General features: G+C 50.0%; 1 protein-coding gene and 1 long non-coding RNA gene across 25 annotated transcripts in view, besides 2 other annotated features; both read right to left on the bottom strand.

Annotated features, from left to right (window-relative positions):
• The window catches only part of MEGF11 (multiple EGF like domains 11), a 358,452-nt gene that overhangs the window by 122,130 nt on the left and 217,954 nt on the right, over positions 1-18,368 (bottom strand). The gene's annotated exons all lie outside the window — the stretch shown is intronic.
• LOC105370867 (uncharacterized) lies at positions 1,961-3,270 on the bottom strand. Of its 2 annotated transcripts, none has more exons than XR_932377.3 (2): positions 2,454-3,270; positions 1,961-2,331 (listed from the first exon to the last, which is right to left on the bottom strand). It is a non-coding gene; the product is annotated as an uncharacterized LOC105370867 (long non-coding RNA). The 2 variants fall into 2 exon arrangements; XR_932376.3 differs by having other exon boundaries at positions 2,423-3,270.
• Positions 6,008-6,508: an enhancer, noted in NCBI's record as "H3K4me1 hESC enhancer chr15:66315774-66316274 (GRCh37/hg19 assembly coordinates)". NCBI's record gives its function as "activates a minimal SCP1, AML or CMV promoter by ChIP-STARR-seq in primed H9 embryonic stem cells {active_cell/tissue: H9 hESC(primed)}" and the evidence as "EXISTENCE:reporter gene assay evidence [ECO:0000049][PMID:30033119]".
• Positions 6,509-7,009: an enhancer, noted in NCBI's record as "H3K4me1 hESC enhancer chr15:66316275-66316775 (GRCh37/hg19 assembly coordinates)". NCBI's record gives its function as "activates a minimal SCP1, AML or CMV promoter by ChIP-STARR-seq in primed H9 embryonic stem cells {active_cell/tissue: H9 hESC(primed)}" and the evidence as "EXISTENCE:reporter gene assay evidence [ECO:0000049][PMID:30033119]".

Genomic DNA, 18,368 nt, shown 5'->3' on the forward strand with positions numbered 1-18,368 from the left:
GATGACTTACTCAAGCTTATACAGGTTGTGAAGTGAAGAACCTGGATGGGGCCAGGTCTGTCTAGCCACCATGTTCCCTCCCACAGCTGGTTTTTCTTACCATCAGCACCCGGAATCCTCCGGCCCTGCTGGTCTGACCCGTCCTTCCTCCCCTCCCAGGATGCCTCCCCCAGGAGGTCCTTGCTTGCTCCCTGGTGTCTGAGGGTCACACCCTTCTCCTCAGTACCCACAGGCTCGGCTCCACTTGCTAGAGGGGTCTGAGAAGCCGAAGCCCAGAGGCTATTTGCTGATGTCTTTGCTCCAGGCGCAGAATGACCATTGGTCTTGGGTCCAGAGAGAGGTTTCCCAAAGGGAGCACTGTGGCCTAAGAGTGAGTGAGCAGGAGTGCTGGGAGAACCTGATTTGTCAGGCAGCCTGTAGAGCACAGAAGGACTGGGGTGCTGATCTAGCGGCTGCCAGGAAGACAGAGAGATGAGAGGCAGGCCCTCAAGGACAAGAGAGGGTTTCAGGGAAGGAGCCGCTCGCAGGGCAGGCAAAGAGCCTGATTGTCACACTTCAGGGAAGGAGCCGGGTGGGCTTGAAGCCAGAAACAGTCAAGTGGTGAATGTGAGAGGGAGCGGGGAGGAAGGGCACTGGGGCACCAACATGTGTGTGATGGGGCAGTGCCCACCCCAGCAGGGTCCCTCCAGCCTCAGGAAAAGGAAGGGCAGTCCACAGGATGAGGCTGGCTGGGCCACAGAGCCGGGGAGTCTCCCTTGGGTGCCTGACTGTCTCGGGGTCCATGGAGCCCCCAGCACAGTTCAGAGTCTGCCCCTCCCATCTCATTCCAGTCACTAAGCAGGGCACAGACCAGCCAGCCAGTGGCCCTGCCCATTTGGGAGAGTCCTTCCGCCTTGCCCAGCTGTGCTCTTCAGGAGAAGTGACACCTGTGGCTGGGCTCCTTCCTCTAGGCTCTCCCCTCCGACTCCTCCCTGTGAAATAAGAGAGTGGGGCTACAGGCAGCACAGGGTGGCCTGGACTCAGCCCCGCTGTGGTTTCTGTGCAGTGCATGAAGAGTAAGGTGAACCCCAGATGCCCACTCTAGGGCAGGGAGTGGGGACAGAAGACCCTGGCTGTATCTGCTGAGTCAGCCAGCAGCCCACGACCGTGAATGACTGTGTGGGAGAGGGTGTGCGTGTGCAAGCTGGTGAGCGCATGTGTGAGTGTGTGCGAGCGGGTGCCTGCCTATGCGTGGGTGAGGGTGTCTGCGTGTGCAAGTGTGCACCTGTGCATGAGACTCTGTGTGAGTGTGTGTGGGGTTGTGGAATGGTGCTGAGTGTGAGGTTAGGAAGAAAAAGAGACCTTCACAGACACAGCCAAAGAGATACTGAGACCAAAAGAAACATTTGGAGAGAGACTGACCCTGGAGAGAGGCCAGAGGCCGGGAAGCCAGAATGAGATGTGTAGAGCAGGAGAGAAGAGAAAGAAACCAAGAACGCTAAGGTGAGGAGGAGAAACGCAGAAAGAAGAGAGATTTGGCAGAGAGGGCAGAGTCATCTGCTCTGCCCCCCAGATGGGGACCTCTTAGATGGCTTCGGAAGGTCCATCTGACAGTGAGGCCCATCACCACGACTCCAGGCCTGTGGGACTCTCCCTGTCTCCACACGTCAGGCTTGGTCCCTCATAAGTGGCAAGGGGCAGGGAGGCCAAGAAAGAGGGGAGGGTGCAGCGAGTGTGGATGATTTTGGTGACAGGGCCTGTGCGTGGGAACCAGGAGCTTGACCTCCTGACCCTTCCCTTCTGGGCCCTCAGTCCTCCCAGAGGCCGCAGACAGCACTCCCCTTGCCAAGCACCAATCCTGACATGGCATCCTTCTGCTGCTGAACGAAGTCTAATTTACTTGGGGAAAAAAACCTTCTGTGGCCCCCAAATCAAATCACTCAGGGAGGGAATGGGGTTGAAAGGAACCAGGGGAAATAAATGTATTCAGCAAGTGTATTTTTATTCCAATAAAACTTGATTCAATAACCCCCATGAATATTTCATTTGCAAGAGGCTGGCCCCTCCTGCGGCTGCCTTGGTCTTAGGCCAATTTTGCCCTCCCTCCCCTGGGGGCAGCACAAGCCTCTCCTCCAGGAACCCAGCAGCTCTGAGGGAGGCTAGGGAACCGCAAGCCCCTTCCAGCCCCGCAGCCAGCAGCAGACCGGCTCCTCCAGGGGGCCTGGCGCTGTTTCCGGAATGCTGCTGAGAGCTTCGGATGGAGAATTGGGTTGGAATACTGCTTGCTGGGTGACCTCGGGTATGCGACCTCACTCGCTGAGCCTCTGTTTCTTCTCCTCATCTTACGACATTCTTATGAGGATCAATAAAGACAATATGAAAAACCTCACATGCATCACTTATGCCATCCTTCCCACGGACTTAGAGCCAGGGTGTGGGTTACCTAGGAGCTTTTATCCCTCCAGCAAGCCTACCAGCTTCTGGCTCTGGGCTTGTAAGCTATTTCCACCGCTACCCATTTCCTTCAATCCTTCACCTGCCCATTCCAAGACAGCCCATGGCCACTCCGGTAAGCACACGGAGGTGGGGTTGTGATGGAGCTAAACCGGGGAGGGGATAACGGGCAGCTGTTGTTTTGTCAGCATAAAGCCACCGCCCCTCCCCAGCTCGGGTCCTGTAGGTGGTCCTGTAGGAGGTTGATTCTACCCTTGTACAGCACAGGGCCCAGGCCCCTAGGATTAGATCATTCAATTTCCTGGTCGCAGCGATTGGTTCTGGAATGTGCATGTGACCCAATCTGGCCAATGGGATTCAATCCTGGGACTCCAACAGGAACATTGGGTAAGTAGGTGTTCTCTTCCATTTGGGCTGTTAGGCTGGGAGACTGTGGTCCTGGAGCTGTTGGTGTGTATCTCTGCTATTACTTGGGAAGAGAAGACTTCAGAACAAAGCCAACACAAAGGAAAACCGAGGCAAGGTGCAGACAGATTGCTGACAACATCATCTGAGCCCCTGGTGTGGCTGGGCCTGAAGCAACATCCACCTCTGTTCTTTCCAGTTACAAGAGGCAACAAATCCCCATTTCTGCCTAAACCTTAGGTTGGGTTTCTGTCTTTTGCAATAAAAAGTATTGTTTAATGGTATCTGAAGCCTGTCTTTCCAATTCACTAATGAAAGCTTTCTTCCTTCCCAGGGAAATGTCTGGGGGAAAGACTGGCATTAGGTTGAAAGAAATGGTGAGACTTCCTGCTGGCTGGTCCCAATTCCCTCACTCCTGGAGATATCTTTAAGAATTACAGTGCCGGCCGGGCGCAGTGGCTCACGCCTGTAATCCCAGCACTTTGGGAGGCCGAGGTAGGCGGATCACGAGGTCAGGAGAGCGAGACCATCTTGGCTAACACAGTGAAACCCCGTCTCTGCTAAAAATACAAAAAGTTAGCCAGGTGAGGTGGTAGGCGCCTGTAGTCCCAGCTACTCAGGAGGCTGAGGCAGGAGAATGGCGTGAACCCAGGAGGCGGAGCTTGCAGTGAGCCGAGATCGCGCCATTGCACTCCAGCCTGGGCGACAGAGCGAAACTCCATCTCAAAAAAAAAAAAAAAAAAAAAAAAAAAAAAAAAAAAAAAAAAAAAAAAAAAAGAATTCCAGTGGCATCAGAAGTAGTGATGTTGGGTCTCCACACCGTCCAGGAGGACACTGGTCCTGAGAAATTCCCAACCTCTCTTGGGGAGGTGATGCAGGGGCCTGCAGGGACAACGCTTGGGGAGCCCACCCCTACCTTGTCTGGTGCTCCTGCTCCTTGATATTGTCATAAGTCAGTCAATCAATCAACAAAAAGTAGAGGAAGGTTGGGCTCAGGGTCAGGAAGCCATGGGCAGGCCAAATGTTCCTCTCAGCCTCCGTTTCCCTGTCAGCAAGATGAGAGGGTTGGACAATGTGAATTCAAACCCAGCCCTAGTATCTTTTATATGTATGAGTCTTTATTCTGTTGTAGACACTTGGAATAAAAAGAAATCTCTTAACCCTACAATCTCTTTGGGAATAGAAGCCATACATATATAAACAAAATAAAACAAACCAAAAAAGTCAATAATGCTGTCCTGAAGGTGAAGTCTGAAATAGAGGAGAATTGGCCAGGGTGGTCTGCAAGCTCCTTTCTGGCTCTGAAAATCTGTGAGAAGGAAAAAGGCTGTGTCCCAGGGAGACGGAAATTCAGCAGCCAGTGCCCGGGGCTCAAGCCCAAATGCTTTTCTACAGGAGGCTCTGGGACTGGCAGAGTTTCCCAGATACCCCTGCCCTTCCATGCTGGTTTGGCAAAGTGTGGAACTAAGACCCAGTTAGGCTGGTGTGAGTTGGACATCTCAGGATGGGGAGGGGAGCCGAGAGAGCAGGGGGAACACTGGCACTTGTGGGGATTTCCTCCTGCTCTCTGTTCACTATTCCATTTGCAAGAGTTTGCAAATTTCAAAGTGGTTTCTGGCAAGACAGCAAAATGTCTCTCCAGAGTCTGAGGATGACTTGCGGCTAGAGCTGGGGGACAGGGCAGTCCAGGGAAGGGCGGGCACAGGGAGGAACAAGCCATGTGATGCCTCTTGGGTCAGGCGGGATTAAGGGCATGGGGGTGATGAGGAGGCTCTGTCTAGCCAGGCAGGTGGTGGGTCTGGAGGCTCCACAAGGTCCAGGAATAAGGATATAAAGACCCATGCAGCGAGAACAGAGGGCCACCCTGGCCCTGGGTCATGGATGGCTGAGCTCAGGGCTCCTTCCTGCAGACAGAGCCTGCATGTGGTGGTAGCCAGGACAGGTGTGGGCCCTCAGGTCTGCTGGCGATTCCATCAGATGTACTCTCTCAGCTCCATGTAAGGTAATGCAATACATTTCCTGCAAAAAAGTGCCCAGTGTGGCCTCTGGGCCTACCTGCAGTGCTGATGGTCATGCCCAATGGCCTCAGGCAGCTGTGCTTTGACCACACTGTTAGGTGACAGACGTTTTTAAGAATCTGATGAAAATGTGGACTGTTTCTACCAAAATGTGCATGCATGCAGGCACACACACGTATGACTTTGTACATAATTTCAAGGAGTTCATGGTCATACTGTGGCCCAGTGCATGCACTCCAGGTTAAGCATTTCTGTTTGGGCCCAGCACAGTGGCTTACACCTATAATCCCAGTAGTTTGGGATGCTGAGGCAGATGAGTCACTTGAGGCCAGTAGTTTGGGACCAGCCTGGGAAGTATAGTGAGATCCTATCTCCACAAAAAATTTTTTAAAAAATTAGCTGAGGCGTGGTGGCGCATGCCTGTACTTCTAGCTACTCAGGAGGCTGAGGTGGGAGCATCACTTGAGCCTGGGGTTGGGGGTGGAGGGTGGGGGTCAAGCTTGTAGTGAATTGTGTTTGCACCACTGCACTCTAGCCTGGGCAACAGAGCAAGACCCTGTCTCAAAAAAAAAAAAAAAAAATTGGTTGGGGGTAGTGGCTCATGACTGTAATCCTAGCACTTTGGGAGGCTGACGGGTGGGGTGGATTGCTTGAGGTCAGGAGTTCGAGACCAGCCTGACCAACATGGTGAAACCCCATCTCTACTAAAAATACAAAAATTAGCCGGGTATGGTGGTGGATACCTGTAATCCCACAGGCTGAGGGAGAATTGCTTGAACCTGGAAGGCAGAGATTGCAGTGAGCTGAGATTATCCCACTGCATTCCAGCCTGGGCAACAAAGTGAGACTCCATCTCAAAAAAAAAAAAAAACAAACTTGTTTGAAGCTCTAGGTCCCTTGGGCTCAGAGAAAAGCCCAGATGGAGATTCCACTCTTTCACCGTCCTCTGGAGAGAGGCCAGTAGCAGCTGCTTCTTGCTCTGAATTCCAGGGTGCAGCAAACTGCCCATCAGCTCAGGGCCTGGGGCTGGAGCCTGCCTGGAAGAAGCACAGCTATATCCATGAGAGCCTCTAAACATGGCCCTGCAGGGTAACCCAGTCTGCAGGAGGCCCAGCTGGGGCTAGAGACTGTAACCATGTGCCCAGGCCACATGCAGACCCAGTGAAAAGGCAGATGAATGGGTGGTCAGGTGTGAGGACGTCAGCCAAGGCTCCCTGCCAGGGAACACAAGGCATCTGTGTGGCTTTATAAGGCACTTTATGAATCCCTCTTAGCTGGCCTTTTTGAATGGAGACTCTTCTCAAAGACTCACAGCCCCAGTTGCAAAAAGGCTCCTCTGTCTCTGCTCGTTGCAGAGTCTGCACAGACCCAAGTGGGGTCGGCGTGCCCATGAGTGTGTGCAGAAGAAAAGCCACTGAATCAATGGGCTGGATTACAGACCCTGCTGCCCTGGGCAGATAATTGCAGTGAAGCACCAGTTGCTCAGACCAAATGTCCTTACCCTGCACTGTCAGAGAGTGCCAATCACAGGGGATTAAAACCAGCTGGGGCACAGCCCTGCCGAGAAAGACTTGAGGCTAGACTGGCAGCCAAGGATGGGGTTGGGGATGGTGAGGGTCGGTCTGAAGGCTGCAGGGGGAGGGGAGCATACAGGGTTGCCAGTGGTGGGCTGAGGATGGGGACAGCTAGGGCTGGGACCAGGGCAGGAGAAGTTGGGACAGAGGGGATGGAGGTCACCAGCAGAAACCAGGTGGGTGGGCTGAGCAGTGGGAAAGAACTGCAGGCTCAGGGTGGGGCTGGTTCGTTCCTGGGGAACCCAGAGCAGAGTGAGGAACCAGACTCTGGATCTTGCTGACCCAGCAGTCTCTGTACTCCTGGTACCCAAACCAAAAGCTGGAAGAATTTTAAAAGCCACAAAGGCCTCCATTTAGAGTTCAGGTACTTTGGGGAACATGGCTGCCCAGAACAAGTCCCTCCATGGGGGCAGCGCCACCAGCTCCAGAATTCTGAACCTGCAGTCAGCCCTGGGGCGCCCGGGGCTGCGCCCACACATTCTCTCAGCTGACCTTCACACAAGTCTGGGAGGTGGGGATGTTACCTTTGGGATCTCACAGTGGAGGACACTGAGGCTTGGAAAGAAATGACTTTCCCAAAGTCACACAGCTGGCCAGAGGCACTTCCATGAGCCTCCTCATCTGGGAAACAGGTGTGCTAATATCTGCCTCAAAGAAGTAGTAATAACACATTGACTGTGTGTCAGGCACTGTGTTAGGCCCTTTACATGCATTATGTTGTGGCATCATTTCCAAAATGCTGTCAGGCTGGTGGTGTTGCCCCATCTTGCAGATGTGAAAACTGGCTCAGAGAGGTGAAGTAAATCACCCAAGGTCACTATATAAGTGACCAAGCCAGGACTGAATCCCTGGTAGCTCTGGCTTCAGAGCTTGTGAAAACCAAAGGAGAAGGGGCTCTATAAAGGGCTTTGTGGGTGGTAATTTTCAGGGATGGGGCCGGGACGGGGGCACTGTAGGGGCAGGGAGAGGAAGAAGCAGGATCTCAGCCCCTCCCAGCTCAGCTAAGAGAGGCCAGAGGCGAACTGGGTCCTGCTGAAAGTGGACTGGGCACCTATTTGGGTGGAGTGGGAGCTGTGGTGTGTGTTGGTTGGGGGAGTGTGACCCGCCCCTCCCTGGCTTTGAGCCTCCCCCACCCCTGTTAATGGCCGTCAGGGGAAATCATCTGCAGGAGATCAAAGCTGGCCTGGAGTGAGCCCCTCACTGGATAATGAAGATGAATTCCGGCCAGGTCTGCCCAGAAAGAACGTTAACTAAATGAAGATGACAGTACAGTGACTGTGGAGTTTGTATCAGAGCCAAATTGAACTCTCTCTTCCAGCAAGTCTATGCAAAACCTGGGCCAGTGCCCAAGAGAAGGGGAAAACACACCCGCATTCTCCTCTCCTTGCCCCCTCCTTGAAGTCCCCTGCTGCTGGCAGCCACCCAAGGGAGGGGCTGGTCCCAGGCTGATTCCTGAGTGGGGGGGCTCCTCGTGGTCCACTCCTGCTTGGCTTATTGAAACTCATGCTGGGCCCCTCAGTCAGCCTGAGGCAGGGAGGAGGGAGGAGGGAGAGGGGCTGGGCTGGAGAAAGCTCCAAAGGGAGGGACTTGAGGCGAGGAGGTCCACTACCTCTTCTAGATCTTTACCCTGAGGACAAGGGTAGCACGGTGGAGTCGGACTTTTGCTCAAGTCCTAGGTCTTAAAAGCCTAAGTGACCTTGAGCTAAAACCTAAAATCTCCAAGCCTCAATTTCTTAACCTATAATATGGGAATGATGATGAAACCTGCCACCCAGATCCACTCCTGTTAATGCTTTGTGAGTCCTTAGGAACGGACCATACCTCCTTTTGCCTTCAGGCCTCTCGGGACATTCCCCTGTCTCTTAATTTGTTCAGCCCCCCGCCGAGGCTGAGTCTGGGCTTGCAGACTTACACTTCTGTGAACTTCTAATCCAGACCCCAGGACCTGCTTCCCAAGCTCTGGGGTCCAGCATCTCAACCCCACAATGATGGGGGAATTCCTGGCCCACCTATTTCCTGAAGATGATAATTAACAATGCCTCCCAACTGCACAGCACAGAAAACTTAAAAGGAGAAAAGGGCAGGGCAGTCAGGAGAGAAAGGCCTGACCAGCATCGGTTAGAACATCCCGGACTAGTGGCTCCTCACCTTAGCCCCACATTAGAATCACCTGGGGAACTTTAAAAATGTCAATGCCAAGGCCCCGCTCCAGATTGTGATTCAGATCTCCGGGGATGGAGCCCTGACAGGGGATTTCCCCCACTCCCCAAAGCTCCCCAGGTGATTCTAATGTGCAGCCAGCATGCAGAAGCTATCTAGAGACAAGGCTTTTTCAACTTTAATGTGCATGAGAATCACCTGGGAGGTCTTGTTAAAATGCAAATTCTGATTCAGGAGGTGTGGCGAGGAGCCTGAGATTCTGTGTTGCTAACAAGCTCAAGGTGGTGCTGATGCTGCAGGACCGGGGACCACACTTTGAGTAGCACTGCTTGATGAAGGGACCACGGCTTTATCATCTTTGTTCATTGCCAGCCCTCCGGCTTCTCAGGAAACGCTTGTGGAATGGATGCACCCCTAATTGAGGCAGTGCAGGATGTGGAGCCTGATGACCTGTATTTGAAGCCTAGCATTATTATTATTTTTTGAGACGGAGTCTTGCTTTGTCACCAGGCTGGAGTGCAGTGGCGCGATCTTGGCTCACTGCAACCTCGGCCTCCCTGCTTCAAGGGATTCTCCTGCCTCAGCCTCCCAAGTAGCTGGGATTACAGGCGCATGCCACCACACCCAGCTATTTTTTTTTTTTGTATTTTTAGTAGAGACGGGGTTTCACCATGTTGGCCAGGATGGTCTCGATCTCCTGACCTCATGATCCACCCACCTCGGCCTCTTAAAATGCTGGGATTACAGGCATAAGCCACCACACCTGGCCGAAGCCTAGCATTATTGCTCTGGCTATGTGGATTTAGGCAAGGTACTTATCAACTGTGGCCTCACATCTGCATCTGTAAAACAGGTATGCTCTTACTGCCCCAGGAGCCTTATAGGATCAGTGGGAGAATAAAATGGTGTCATTTATATGAAATGTAAATTGAAAATATCCCTTTTTTCTTCTTTTACCTGGAAGGACACATATCCCACCTGCAGTGATGTCTTGGTGCCTGTGATCCGCCTGATTATCTCTGGTAGCCCTCATGCACCAGCACTCCCAGTCCTGAAATCCAGTGGGCACTGGACACGCTAGCTGTGGAGACCCTTCTGGGCCTCCCAGCAAGCTCCAGGGCCCTGGCCAGGCCAGCAAGCTCACTCAGAAACAAGCACACTTCCAGACTGATCAGCACACTTCCAGATTGATCAGCACACAAAGACTCAGAAGACACAGGTTCAAATCCCGACTTTACCCCTTCCAGCCACAGGCTGAGTCCACACTAGGGTTCCCAGTAGCTCTTGTAAACAACTTATCACCCTCTTCTGAGGCAGCACTGGGCTGTTATGCCTGAGTACCAGTGACCACGTCAAGCTGAACCCACTGGCAGTCACCATCCCTCACAGACAGGGGCCTATGATAAGGCAGGGCCACCTGAAACTCATTCTGCTCCATCACTGTGCACCGTAACATTTGCTGAGATAATGGGTGCCCCATGCATTCTTCCCGTTCACAATGGCCAAGCCCCAGCTTTCCCCTCTGCCCCACTGCAGGTCCACTTCCTGTTCCATCACCCCCTATCTCTGGGCTACGAGCCAGGCAGTGCCTCAGAACTACCCCGAGAGTCTGGAGCTTCAGATCCTGGGCCCCTCCCTTGATGATTCAGATTGCACAAATCTTGGGTGGGGGTGGCAAGAATCTACCTTTTCTTTTTCAGCTCCCAGTGGTTCTGATGCATGATCAGGGCTGAGAGTCACTGCCCTCTATGCCCTCCTCTCCTGTTGGCCTGATGTCCCCTGGAGAGCATTGGGCTTAGGATCAGAAACCCCAGGCTAGCGTTCTTAAGCTCTGCACCTTAAGCTGTGACCAAATGTGAGTTATTTAACAGACTTGGGCCTCAGCTTCCTCATCTGCAAAATGGGGACAGTGAAGACAATTGTCTTGGAGGAATATTCAGGGTCAAAAAAGATCAAGAGGGAAACCCTCTGAAAAGAGGGACGTAGCACACAGATGCAAGGTGCTCTGACAACTGTGATGTCAGCACACCCACCAGCTTCCTCCCAGAGTCCCCTGTCTCAGCTCCCTTTTACTGGGTGCAGTAAGATGTCTCTGTACCCAGTCTTACTGTACCCAGTCTCCTCTTCCTGGTGATCAGTTGTATCCCTGTCTGTTCTGGACTGCAAGCTTGAGGACTGGGACCTTGTCTTATCTCTGCAGCCCCTGCAGCACCCAGCACAGACCCTGCCACATAGTAAGTATCCAATAAAGGTCTTTCATAACACAGAAAATGTCTGTCCTTGTTAGAAAGCCAGTAAATGCAAATTAACACAACAGGGAGGTCCTATTTTACACTTCCTAGATTAGCAATTTAGGGAAACAAATAACATGCACTGCTGACAATGTTATACAGAAACTGGTACACACATTACTGATAATGTTGAAAATAGGAATGATCAAATGATCATTTTGGAAAGCAATATGGCAATATATATCAAGGGTCATAAAATGCTCATTCACTTTGACCCAGTAATCCCACTTGTAATACTGTATCCAATGGAAATCATTCAAAAGAATAACAATTATTTATATGCATGAAGATATTCATTGCAACATTACAATGGCCCCAAATGGAAAACAACCTAAATGGTCAAACAATAGGGGAATTGTTAAGTAAATTATGGTATATAAACCCAACGCACTATTATGTAGCCATTTAAAATATTTATGAAAACTATGTTATGTGGAAAAAATGCTTATGGTAAAATGTGAAATAAAAAAGTTAGAATGTAAAATTATATGTGTGTATAACTACATAATCAAAATGCTGACAAGGATCAGAAGGGACTATGCAAAACGAAATTAATTACTGTGTTAAGGTGGAAGGACTAGAGGTGATTTATTTTTGTTTTTAAACATTTCCTGTAATTTTGTTGTAATGCCATTTTCACAATGCAAAAGTTAGATAGCCAAATAATAAATGTTTGTCAAATGACTACAAGGAGAGAGAGGAGGGGAGAAGGGTGATGTTTGGGGGTCTCCGAATCCATCCCTGTCTGTATCCCAGAGTATCTTGAGAGAGATGCTCAAATGAACAGTTGGATTCTGGATGGAGCTTAGCCTTAGAGAAGTGTGGCCAGGCAAACAGAATTGCCTTGTTTTTTTTTTTGGGTGCCCTCAAATGATTCTGGGTACTTTTGGGGAGAGGTTAGATTTTCTCAGAAGCCCATGCTACCCTGTGGTGTTCTGATGGGGGTTGAGCCAGGGAGGGGTGCAGAGAATGTTCAAGTTCAAGGGCCTGGTGGCATTCGAGGTCTTCTCTGCTGGAGCCTTGCCCACAGGAGGTAGGCTGAGCCTGGGTGAGGAATGAGAAGTCTTCCTCTTTACACTCACCTTTCCTGACCTCTAAGGCTTTGGAAACTATACATCCTGTGTGCCTGAGACAGTCCCAGTTTTCACCTGCTGGCCTGGCATAATTATTAATAGCACTCTTCAGTCTCAAAAGTGTCCCATTTGGGACATGGCCACATTACTGAAACCTCTTTACAGCAGGAAAAGAGGAGAGGAAAGCTGCTCTGTGACTGATGAACGGTGGTGTGATGGTGGGGTCTTTCCCCTGAGGGGCGCAGACCCAGAGATGTCAAGAATTGTTCTAGGTGGGCCCTGGGCCACCTGCCCCCTACTCAAGACTTCCATGAGTTACCTCTGTCCTGGGAGCTGAGTGGGGACCTCTGTGCCTTCCTCTCTCCCTCCCAGGCCTTCCTCTTTGCACATTTCTCCACCAACATCAACGCCCCTCCTGGGGCTTCCGGCTTCCACTGCCTATGACTCTTCCCTCCTGCGCTCCTCTAGGCTGAGCTGTCCCTTTCCCTCCTCTGGACCTCTCCCTCCTGGTAACAGATATTTTCAGTTTTAATCAAGTATTCCTCCCTGTCTCCCCAGCACCAGCTCATCCTCTGCTAAGCCAGTGTAACTCCTTTTTCTATTCCTGGGGACATTTTTCATCCATACTTTCTCCAACCAATGTTATCTCAGCGCTAAGCGGGATCATAATTCTGCCCAATGTCATGGGAATTCTCAGCAATCTTGCTTCTGACAGTGACAATGTCCTTCAGGCTCAAACACCTGAGCACACACAGAGATTCAGACATGACTTCTCGTGCACACAGGCCACACGTCTGCAACTCATATGCTATGTACCTGCCGCATGCAAAATGGCAGGTATTCACATGACATATCCAGCCCATACCACATTTCCACATCACACCCAGTGCATATATATCAGAAACCTCACATGTAATATCTACCCTTCATGGACCCATGCTATGTCAATACACATGACATATCCCATACATGTTGTATACAGGCCTCAGACCACACATCCATTACCTCACTCACACACACAGTCCTCAACCTTTTTATTCTTTTTTGATATGGAGTCTTGCTCTGTTGCCAGGTTGCAGTGCAGTGGCATGATCTTGGCTCACTGCAATCTCCACCTCTCGAGTTCAAGTGATTCTCCTGCCTCAGCCTCCGGAGTAGCTGGGACCACAGGCATTCACCACCACGCCCAGCTAATTTTTGTATTTTTAGTAGAGATGGGGTTTCACCATGTTGGCCAGGCTGGTCTCGAACTCCTGACCTCAGGTGATCTGCCTGCCTCGGCCTCCCAAAGTGCTGAGATTACAGGTGTGAGCCACTGTGCCCTGCCACCCCTCAACTTTACATACAGGCTTTGGAGCCCCTGCAGTGTCAAGATCCTCCTCAGGAAAAAATGCTCAATTCCTACCACAGAGGCCACGTCCCCCGTGCCAAGCTGCACAAGGACTTCAGCAAGGAACATCCATTACTGCTAACGAGCATTACATGCCTAATTAATTCCCAGGCTTGGTCTGAGGATTCAACCTGGGGCCTGATTTCCATTCAGGGAAAATAAAAGGGAAATGTAAGAGGGCTCATAAGCTGTTTAGTAGGATTTAGGTCCTGCCTGCACTTGCCCATTCTGTACCCAAACCCAAACCACTGGGATTATCAGCCTGATAGGATAAAGCAAATACCTTGTCCAAGCAGAGGGAAGTGGGGTTTCCTTTCTGACCACCTTTCTGAAGCATCAGGACCAAATTCTCAAAGTTAGGATGTCTTAGAAGCCTCTTTTGATGGGGTCTGTCTTCTACCCAAGTAAAGGTCCCTTCACTTTTTCCATGAAGCACAGCCCATCCTAGGTACCCGCTAATTAACATCTGATATGCCCCAGTGCGTGTTCCTCGATGTTGGGTAGATTTGCTCATTGGCACACAGTCAGGACCTTCTATACCCAGTCTGGTTTCCCTTTGTGAGATAGGGCATAGAATATGCAAGGATGTTGTCTTGGGAGGGGAGGGCCTGGGTGAAGGGTTAGCAAAGTTGAGGTCTTCCTGGCAAATGTCACTTTGAGATCACTACACTCTCTCCCATGGAGGCCGGGCTGGGGTTCTACCTCAATCCAGCACCAGATCAGAGGTGGAGCACAGGATAACCATTTCCCACTCCAAGTGAAGTACTGTCCTCACATTCAGGAATTTACGTGGGGGGATGGAGGGGTGAAGACATCCATAAGGCAGTGAGGAAGAGTGGTGGAGAGGCTGAGCTTGGGCAGAAAGCTGATCTGAACTTAAATCCACATTCTGCCACCAATTCAGTGTGTGATCTTGAGCAACTACTTATCTTCTCTGGGCCTCTGCTTCCAAATGTGTAAAATGAGATTATGACAGTACTCCCTGCTCTGGTCTGAATGTGTCTCCCAAAAGTTCGTGTGTTGGAAACTTAATCCCTCTGCCCTCGTGAATGGATTAATGTTGTTATTACAGGAATGGGTTCATTATCTTGGGAGTGGCTTCGTTATGAAAGTACTGGTCTGTAGCCTGTTAGGAACCAGGCCACATGGCAGGAGGTGAGCAGCAGGTGAGCGAGCATTACTGCCTGAGCTCTGCCTCCTGTCAGATCAGTGGTGGCATTAGATTCTCATGGGAGCACACACCCTATTGTGAACTGTGCCTGCGAGGGATCTAGGTTGCAAGCTCCTTATGACAATCTAATGCCTGATGATCTGGCATAGAACAGTTCCATCCTGAAACCATCCCCTTCATGGAAAAATTGTCCTCCATGAAACTGGTCCCTGGAGCAAAAAAGGCTGGGGATTGCTGCTTTACCACATGTCTGTGCCATGCTCTTGAACTTCCCAGCCTCCATAACCATGAGCTAAATAAACCTCTATTTTAAATAAATTACCCAGTCTGTGGTATTCAGTTATAGCAATAGAAAACAGACTGTGACAGAAAATTGATACTGAAAAATGGGATTGTTGTTACAGCAGATACCTGAAAATGTGGAAGGGTTTGAGGACTGGGTAATGGGTAGAAGCAGGAACAGTTCTGAAGTGAATGCTGGAAAAAGTCTGCATTGTGAACAGAGCATTAAGGGTGATCCTGGTGAAAGCTCACAAGAAGAGAAGACTGGAGAAAGTCTGGAACTTTTTAGAGATTAAATGGTTGTGACCAGAATGTTGATAGAAATATGCATAGCAAAGGCCACTCTGACAAAGTCATAGATGGAACTAAGAAACAAGGTATTGGAAACTGGAGCAAAGGCCATCCTTGTTATAAAGTAGCAAAGAACTTGGCTGAACTATGCTTGTGCTTGAGAAGATTACGGAAGGCAGAATTTAAGAGTGATGAGCCAGGATATCTGGTGGGAGAAATATCTAAGCTGCAAAGCACGCAGCCTGCTGCATGCCTGCTTTTAACTGATTACAGTAAAGTAAGATAGGAAAGACAGGATTTAAAGACAGAATTTATGATTAAAAAGGAAGCCGAGGTGGGCAGATCATGAGGTCAGGAGGTCGAGACCATCCTGGCTAACACGGTGAAACCCCATCTCTACTAAAAATACAAAAAATTAGCCAGGTGTGGTGGCAGGTGCCTATAGTGCCAGCTACTCGGGAGGCTGAGGCAGGAGAATGGCGTGAACCTGGGAGGCAGAGCTTGCAGTGAGCTGAGATGGCACCACTGCACTCCAGCCTGGGTGACAGAGTGAGACTCCATCAAAAAAAAAAAAAAAAAAAAAAAAAAAGAAGCAGAGAAGAAATATCTGGAAAATTTGCAGCCTAGTCATGCAAAGAGGGAAAAGGTAGGTTTTGGAAATGGCACCTAGGTGTGGCCAAGAGATTGTTTGCTGAAGAGATTACCATACACAGAAGACACCAAGACAATAGGGAGAAAGACCCTGAAGAACATTTCAGAGATCTCTGAGGCTGCCCCTCCCATAACAGGCCCCGAGCTCTAGGAGGGCAGAATGGTTTTGGGGGAAGGGCCCCAGGGTGCCCTCCACAGGCTCCATGCCCAGAGCCAACTAGGGTCTCTGCTCCCTGAATTCCAGCACAGCATAGTGCTCCTTGGCTGACCCAGTCACAGCTCAAGCAGGCCCAGGTGCAGCTTTGGCCATCACTCTGGAGGGAACAGGCAGTAAGCCTTGGTGGCGTCCATGTGGTACTGACTCTGCAGGTATGCAGAGTGTGTGCACTGTGGGGTCATGGTGGCCTCCATCTAGATTTCAAAGGATGTAGCAGATGGTCTGGGTACCCAGGCATAGGCTGATCCCAGCAAGGCTATGGGGATGGGGCTGTCTGAGGCCTTGGGGGCCCAACCCCCACACCAGTGTGTCCAGACTGCAAGACACGGAGTCAAAGGAAATTATTCTCCAGCTTTAAGACCAAATATAATTTTCCCTGTTGGTTTTGGATTTATTTATTTTTATTTTTTATTTTTATTTTTTGTGAGACGGAGTCTCGCCCTGTTGCCCAGACTAGAGTGCAGCGCCATGATCTTGGCTTACTGCAACTTCTGCCTCCTGGGTTCAAGCAATTCTTTGCCTCAGCCTCCCCAGTAGCTGGGATTACAGGCGCCCACCACCACACCCAGCTAATTTTTTGTATTTTTAGTAGAGACAGGGTTTTACCATTTTGGCCAGGCTGGTCTTGAACTCCTGACCTTGTGATCCACCTGCCTCGGCCTCCCAAAGTGCTGGGATTACAGGCATGGGCCACCATGCCCAGCCTGGATTTACTTGTTATTCCTTTCTTCTTGCTAATTCCTCCCTTTTGGAACGGAAGTGTCTGTCCTATACCTGTCCCACCATTGCATTTTGGAAGTAGATAACTTGAATTCACAATCTCACAGCTGGAGGGAATTTACCTCAAGATGAAATGTGCCTTGAGTCTCACCCATATCTGATTCAGATGAGACTCTGGACTTTGGACTTCTGAGTTGGTGTTGGAACAGTTAAGACTTTGTGGCTATTGGGATGGAATGAATATATTTTACATGTCAGAAGACATGAATTTTGGGGGTTGGGGTGGAATGCTGGTTTTTTTTTTTTTGTTTTTGTTTTTTGGTTTTTCTTTTTGAGACAGGATCTCACTCTGTCACCCAGGCTGGAGTACAGTGGTGTGATCTTGGCTCAGTGCAAACTCCATCTCCCAGGCTCAATTGATCCTCCCCGCTCAGCCTCCTGAGTAGCTGGGACTACAGGGACATGCCACCATGCCTGGCTAATTTTTGTATTTTTTGTAGAGATGGGGTCTTACCATGTTGCCCAGGATGGTCTCGAACTCCTGAACTCAAGCGATCCTTGCACCTCAGCCTCCCAAAGTGCTCGGAATACAGGCGTGAGCCACTGTGTCTAGGCAAATGCTATGGTTTGAATGTGTTCCCCAAAAGTTTATGTGTTGGAAACAATCCCTCTGCCCTCATGAATGGATTAATGAGTGTTCTGCCCTCATGATGAATTAATGGATTAATGAGGGCTCTGCCCTCATGCATGAATTCATGTCACTGTTACAGGAGTGGGTTCATTATCGCAGGAGTGGCTTTGTTGTAAAAGTGAGCTCTCTCTGGCTCTCTTGCCCTCTTGTCATGTGATGCCCTCTGCCATGTTATGACACAGCAAGAAGGCCCTCACCAGATGCCAGTGTCACGCTCTCGTACTTCCCAGCCTTCAGAACCATGAGCTAAAAAAAAATCCTTTTCTTTATTAATTACCCGGTCTGTGGCATTCTGTTATAGCAACAGAAAATGGACTAAGACAATACCTCAGGGGGTTGTTGTGTAGTTTAAATGAGCTGAGGTACCCAGAGTATGCAGCAAAGTACCGGACACAGAGTAAGAACTTCATAAGTAGTATTACAGTAGTTGTTTTATTAGTAGTATATTATTTCTTCTAATATTACTGCTACTACAATCACCATGACTACTACTACTGCTGCTGCTGCCGCTGGTGCTGCCACTCTAATGGTCCTGTTGTGCTTAAACTCCTCAGTGTTGCAATAACTGCACAATGTGGCCTCACCTTGTACATTCAACCTTTATTTCCCCAAAGTGATTTTGCTTGACATGGGCTGATACCCCACACACATTCCCATCTCCGTGCCTTTGCTCATGAGGTCCCTGGCCTGGGAGGCCCTTCTTCCCCCTTTACCTAGCCAAATTCTACTCCTCCTTCAAAGCCAAAGCTTTTATCCAGCTTCCACCATGAACCACACCCTCCAAAGGCAAGTATTGAGGTCCTTCCTTATGCATTTCTATGGTGTTTATGATGACGATGAAATGTTTTAAAGACACAAAAAGTAATGAAACAAACACCCATGTACCCACTACTTAGATTAAAAAGGAGAAGACAAATTGTCAGTACAACCGAAGTCTCCTGTGTTCACTTCCTGAATGTGCTTCTCTTTTTCTTCTTAGAGGTAACCAGCATCCTGGATGT

The sequence above is a fragment of the Homo sapiens genome, chromosome 15 (genome assembly GCF_000001405.40).
Source record: "Homo sapiens chromosome 15, GRCh38.p14 Primary Assembly".
NCBI classification, from domain to species: Eukaryota; Metazoa; Chordata; class Mammalia; order Primates; family Hominidae; genus Homo; species Homo sapiens.